The sequence below is a fragment of the Homo sapiens genome, chromosome 15, assembly GCF_000001405.40.
Source record: "Homo sapiens chromosome 15, GRCh38.p14 Primary Assembly".
NCBI classification, from domain to species: domain Eukaryota; kingdom Metazoa; phylum Chordata; class Mammalia; order Primates; family Hominidae; genus Homo; species Homo sapiens.
In genome coordinates, this window is record NC_000015.10 from 69,522,272 (window position 1) to 69,528,451 (window position 6,180).

At 48.9% G+C, this 6,180-nt stretch overlaps 3 annotated features.

Annotated features, from left to right (window-relative positions):
- Positions 1,226-1,395: an enhancer, noted in NCBI's record as "active region_9658". NCBI's record gives its function as "activates an Ori minimal core promoter by ATAC-STARR-seq in GM12878 lymphoblastoid cells {active_cell/tissue: GM12878}" and the evidence as "EXISTENCE:reporter gene assay evidence [ECO:0000049][PMID:35858748]".
- Positions 3,923-4,503: an enhancer, noted in NCBI's record as "NANOG-H3K4me1 hESC enhancer chr15:69818533-69819113 (GRCh37/hg19 assembly coordinates)". NCBI's record gives its function as "activates a minimal SCP1, AML or CMV promoter by ChIP-STARR-seq in naive H9 embryonic stem cells {active_cell/tissue: H9 hESC(naive)}" and the evidence as "EXISTENCE:reporter gene assay evidence [ECO:0000049][PMID:30033119]".
- Positions 4,504-5,084: an enhancer, noted in NCBI's record as "NANOG-H3K4me1 hESC enhancer chr15:69819114-69819694 (GRCh37/hg19 assembly coordinates)". NCBI's record gives its function as "activates a minimal SCP1, AML or CMV promoter by ChIP-STARR-seq in naive H9 embryonic stem cells {active_cell/tissue: H9 hESC(naive)}" and the evidence as "EXISTENCE:reporter gene assay evidence [ECO:0000049][PMID:30033119]".

The following is a 6,180-nucleotide window of genomic DNA, read 5'->3' on the forward strand; positions in this document are numbered from 1 at the left end:
GATTAAGCAAACTATTGTCAATATTGATTTCACCCATTAAATTTTTTTTTAAAGGCAACTGGGCTGGGTGCAGTGGCACATGCCTGTAACCCCAGCACTTTGGGAGGCTGAGGTGGGCAGATCACTTGAGCCCAGAGGTTTGAGACCTGCCTGGGAAACATGGCGAAACCCCATCTCTACTAAAAATACAAAAAATTAGCCAGGTGTGGTGTCATGTTCCTGTAGTCCCAGCTATTCAGGAGGCTGAGGTGTGAGAATCACCTGAGCCCAGGAAGTCCAGGCTGCAGTGAGTCATGATTGCTCCATTGCACTCTAGCCTGGGTGAAGGGAGTGAGACCTTATCTCAATAAATAAATAGGCAGCTATTAGAAAACTTAAAATTACATGTGTGGCTCACATTATGTTTCTCTTGGATTATGTTGGACTAGAGCGACCCAGGGAATCTTAGGTTCAGATCAGTTGGGAAACTTGCATAGCTAATAAATGGCAGAACCAAAATTTCAACCTAGTTTTCCAAAGAGGTAGTGCTTTCTTTTTTGGTTAATTGGAAAACAGTGGGTTTGATCTAGGACCTCTAACAAGCCCCATCTGGGAAGGAGGCCGTGGTTCTCACCCTGGGCTCTGTGACCAACGCACTGCTCCAGGAAGGGGAGGCCTGAGAGAGGCTGGTGGGCAGGGCTAGAGCTCCCCCACCCCTTGTCCCTTGCCATACAATCACCAACCAATTCCATCAGAGAGCTGTGCTTTTATTGTTTCTCTTATACACGGGACCTGAGATTTCATTTGAGAATGCAATTTCTACTTAAAAAAGATGGAAAATCATCTGTGAAGAGGGAAGCCTTTAGACTCAAACAGACCATATACTTATGAATTCTTTGTGAGTTCACTACTTGGGGCCTCAGTTTCATCATCTGTAAAATGGGTGTTGGTGATACCTGTCCTGAGAGATTATGATGGTAATGAGATAATGGAGGATCTAATGCACGGCTCATAGCAGGTGTGCAATGAATGCAACTCTTCTCTCTTTTCCCCTCAAGACTGGCCTTGGACTCAGTTCTGACTCGTGTGTGTGTGTGTGTAGGTGGTGAACTTTCCCTAGGAGTTTCTTGCCTCATATTTTCCTTATTCCTGGAATGATTTGCTTTCAGTGGTAGTTTCATATTCATCTATAGACAGGGAAGGACATGGCAGAATGAGATAAAATGGGGGATGAATGCTGCTAAATACTGCCTTTGTGATTGTATTCAATTACATGGGCTTTTTCTTTGCCTGTTTGATGAGAAAGGTGATGAGAAAGGCAGGCCTGCAGGGGGCAGCACATGGCCAGTACTTCACTCATGAGGGACTGGCTCATGGGACTCCTGGCTTTGCAAGAAATCAGAGCCTTCCCAGGCATAGGGGAGCCTTGGAGATTTCTGCAAGGAGCCTCAGTTCTGGTGTTGAGATATTTATTATGCCCTGCAAGTTACTGATGCTGGTGGAATTAGGTCCTTGGGCTTCTTGGTCTCCTGGCCTCTGTGGTCCAGCCAGCCTCTTCCCCTATCCCTCAAGGATTACTTCTACGATCTCCGAACTTCAGGGCTGAGAGGGACTTAAATGGTGATCTAACCCTAACACATCATGTTACCAATACAGGAGGCAACCAACCTTGCAAGGTGGGGATGTGTGTATCTCCCATCTTACAGGAGAGAAAACAGAGGCTCAGTGAGGTTAAATGACTTTCACCAGGTCCCACAAGTAAGAAGTGATAGATTAAAGCTCTTTTGTTTGCAGGCATCAGAAATGTCTAGTCAGTTTAAGCAAAGGAGAGGAACATGGATCCTGGGGGGATTTCACAGAATGGCAAGAAAATCAACTAATTTGGCCTCCATGGGTGGGGCCCGGGGTAGCTCAAGATTGGCAGCAACAGTCTGTGGCTCTTTCTGTCCTGAACCTGCTCTCAGGGATGAGCACTAGCCCCAGTCCAGCCCAGACCCTGTATCTCTCAGGTCTAAAATTCAGGTTGCTGGGATAGAGGTTCTAGATGGACCCCTTGGATCACTCAGCAGTGGTCAGAGGTCAGGGGGTTACTAGCATAGTTATGGAGGATTTGTTTTGAGTCCTGTAGTGAAGCCCTGACAAGAACACCACAGGTGTCAACACCTGGTCGATGTGGGTCTTCCAAGGCTCAGCCGGGGCCTCTGTTCTGTCGCACAGTCACACAGTCTGCTCTCCAGTAGCTGCAGGCTAATCCCAGCTGTAAGGTCAGCCGAGGAAACGGAAGGTGCTGTTTGCATTTTAATAAGGAATCCAAAAGACCAAAGGCCTCTGGGTCCTAAAAGACTGGTTTTCTCAAATGGTGCAAAGTCCAGGTATTGTAACTGATGGGGCACCAGGGGTAAGGAGCCCTCCCTGGTACTTCCCGTCACACCCACACAAGTGTGCCTCCAACTTATAAAGTTCACCTGTTTATCTTGCTGCCGCTTGTTCCCCCAACTCCTTTCCATCTCCCTCTCCAAGGATTCAGTAATATGTTGTCTAGACACTACTGCTGCTGTTTCTCCTCCATTAATCCATTTTAATTGGAAAGTTATCATAATGCAAACTCTCTTTGGTATTATTTGCGGCTCTGCATTATTAGAACCTCACCAACTCGCTTTCCCAGCAAATTAAACTTGCTATGGAAGCAATGAGATCAGCTGCTCATATTAAATCAGGCCGCACGTTGTTAAGTGGGGCTGGGAATGGGGCTTCCTCAGCTGGGTGGGGCGCAATCGCTGGAGGCGTTTACAATGGCACCACTGTTTTTATGCTGGGGATTTGGCCTCTGTGCTCAGTTCTCCTCTTTTTTTGGCACTGTGTATTGGAAATTAGAGATGGAAAGAAAGAGGGGACAAAAAACCCTCTGGTGGTATTTGGCCTCTCACCCCAAACCCAGGGCAAACAGCAATGATCAGAATGCACATGGCCTTAACCCCAGATGAATTACAAAGCATATTCCAGTAGTCCTAAGAGCCTTGTGAAGTAGCGATGATCATCCCCTGTGTATGCAGCTGGAAACTGAAGCTCAGAGAAGGTACTTCTAGGGGCTGCACAGGCAACACATAGTAGACGCGGACTCTAAGCCGAGTCCTCTGAGTCTAAAACCAGACGGCCCGAAGGGATGAAACGCCAACCACAGTGAGCAGACCCTTTTTACAGAGCAGATCCTGGAACGGATTCATTTCTAGCTGATAGTATGGAAAGCAGTTAATAAATGACCAGGTTTCCTATTTGTGGATTATCACCACCTCAGCATCTAATTTTTCCCAGTTACCCACTCAATAGAACAACATGGCTGACACTCCTGCCCACCCACCCAACGGCCATTTCCCCCTACTCCCTTGCTACCCGAAACCTAATTTTGTTAAGTCAGAAATGTGCCCAATCTCAGAGGAAGACTCATGATTGGTCTAAGCCAGCCATGGGCGTCTGTTTCCCTTGTCAGTGATTGGTCTAGAGGTAAGCATGTGACTCATTTCTGGCCAATTACACCTAAGGGAAAGACTGCCGATGACTTCTGGGAAAAACTTTCTCTCCGATGGCGGCAGAGCAGGGAGGAAACTTTTGCTTGAGTTTCTCTCTTCCAGTGTGGGCACTATTTGTTATAGTTAAAAAGTCCCCCAATTCTTTGACCTTGCTTCCAAAGGTGGAGCCCATTTCCCCTCCTGCTGAGCGTGGGCCACACTTAGCGACTGGCTTTCAATGAAGAGAATGTAACAGAGGTGAAAGTGTGTGACATTCGAGGAAAGGCCATAAAAGACATTGGTGCTTCAGCTTTGCTCTCGCGGCTGTCTGACTCTGGGGGAAGCCAGCCACCACGTCATGAGGACACCCAAACAGCCTACGGAGAGGCCCACGTAGGGAGGAGCTGAGGCCCCCTGCCAGCAAGCAGCCCTAGCCCGCCAGCTGTGTGAGTGAGCGAGCCTTTTTGGAAGTGCATCCTCCTGTCCCAGTCCAGCCCTCAGATGGCTGCAGCCCTGCTAGCATCTTGACTGCCGCCTCATGAGGGACCTCAAGCCAGAACCAACAGCCACGTGGTGCCAGAATTCCTCATCTGCAGCAGCCGTGTGAGATCATAACTGTTTATTGCCTTTTTAAGCCACTGAGTTTTGGGGTCGTTTGTTACTCAGCAGTAGATGATTAATATGCTGTCATGCAGCTGTCTTGGAACCAGGAGGGGCAAGACTGAGGGCAGAAGCCACTGTGGTGAAACTGGCGGAGACATGGAATCTGGATTCCTGGTGATGTGAGCTAGTGAGCTGCCCAGCCAACCCTGGGTTGCCTATTTTGGGACTTTTTGTTACATGAGCTGATAAGAACCCTTAATTCATTGTTAGTCTGGGGTTCCATTATTTGTAAACAGCTTTTTACTGCCTCAGCCTTGGGGAGATACGTGATCCTTCCAATCACATTTCATGGCTAGCAGAGGTCACATGGTCTCCACCCACAGTCACATTGGGATGGAGAGGAGGGAGAGAGGGCCCTGCTAAGGGGCTTAAATGCTGCACGTACATTTGCATGTTGAGATTTAATAGAGGCCTTCTGGAGACACAATGCTTCCTCCCAGGGAGGGCCTAATTGCAGAAAGTCGGGCACTGTGATGGGCCTGGGGGCTCTTGTGACCCTGGGTAGGCGATTGTCTGTGTGACAGTTGAAGTGATGGTATGTTAATAGCTTCTCGATGAAAGGCTCAATCTCAAGGGGTTCATGTTTCTCAGCAGCCAAGACAGCGGGTTTCTGCAGCAGGTGGTTCACAAACGGCATCCTATCAGCATGGCCCCAAAGTAACTGAAAGCTGCTCAGACTGTCCCGCCCTCCCCAATGCCCCCCACCTAGGTGAATTCCAAAGGAGGAGGAACCAATGGGTCTGTGATGGATATTACCCTTCCCCATTAACTCTACAAGTTAGTTTTCTTCTTTTCATTTTTTTATTTTTTATTTGTGACAGAGTCTCGCTCTGTCGCCCAGACTGGAGTGCAGTGGTGCGATCTTGGCTGACTGCAACCTCTGCCTTCTGGGTTCAAGCGATTCTCCTGCCTCGGCCTCCCGAGTAGCTGGGATTACAGACGTGCGCCACCATGCCCGGCTAATTTTTGTATTTTTAGTAAACACGGGGTTTTGCCATGTTGGCCAGGCTGGTCTTGAACTCCTGGCCTCATCTGATCCACCTGCCTTGGCCTCCCAAAGTGTTGGGATTACAGGCATGAGCCACTGCACCCAGCCTAATTTTCTTCTTGAAACTGCTCTTTCCTCACCTGCAGCATAGGCACAGTCACACCACAAAGGCAGCAGTGTGGAGTTCCTGGCAGAACTGCCAGAGGTTCAAGGGTTCTCAAGAGGGTATCCCAAGCACACAGATCTAGGGAGGGATCTGTGACATCAAGCCTCTGGGGGAAGGGCCTGGGGTCAGCATTTTCCTATACACTCTCCAGGTTATCCCGACCCACTTTGCATGTTTGAGAGCCACTCAATGATCCTGTCTGTCCCCTAGGACAGCTGTCGCTGTAGGCAGGGCAGTGAGAATGACCCACATGGGGAGCTAAGGAAGCAGAGGCACAGTCCTGCCGGCACCCGAGGACAGGGTCGGGGCTGGAATCTGATTACCTGTCTCTTTTCACTGTCTGTAGTGTTGTTTCTCACCCTCCTAGAAGGGGGCAGGAGAGAAGGGACCCCAGGAAACCCAGGATCAAGGAGGGTTCATAATTGGGGGAAGCAGGAGCCCTCACTCATTCCATTCATGGCTGTCAGCTCCCTGCTGTCCCCTAGCCCATATTCCTGGTTCTGGGAATATAAACAGAAAATGAAAAGCGTTTGTATAACACTTCATATGTACCTGCACAATGCCTTAAGCACTTTACATCTACAAACTCAATGAATGCTCACAATTACCCTATGAGATAGGCACTATTATTATCCCCACTTTACAGATGAGGAAACTGAGGCACACAGTAAACACTGAAAGTCCATCCAGATTCTCAGCCCCTAAAGCTGCTGAGTGGGCATTCCCTTGGGATACTTCCAGTTCAAGCCCTTTATTTTATAGAGAGAAACCGCTCGGTGAGAGAAGGGCCATTCTGAATCATACACGTCCATGGCAGGGCTGGGCCAGGTCCCGGGTTCTGGCCACTGGGCCATGCTGCCTACCTCAGAAAGGGGTGC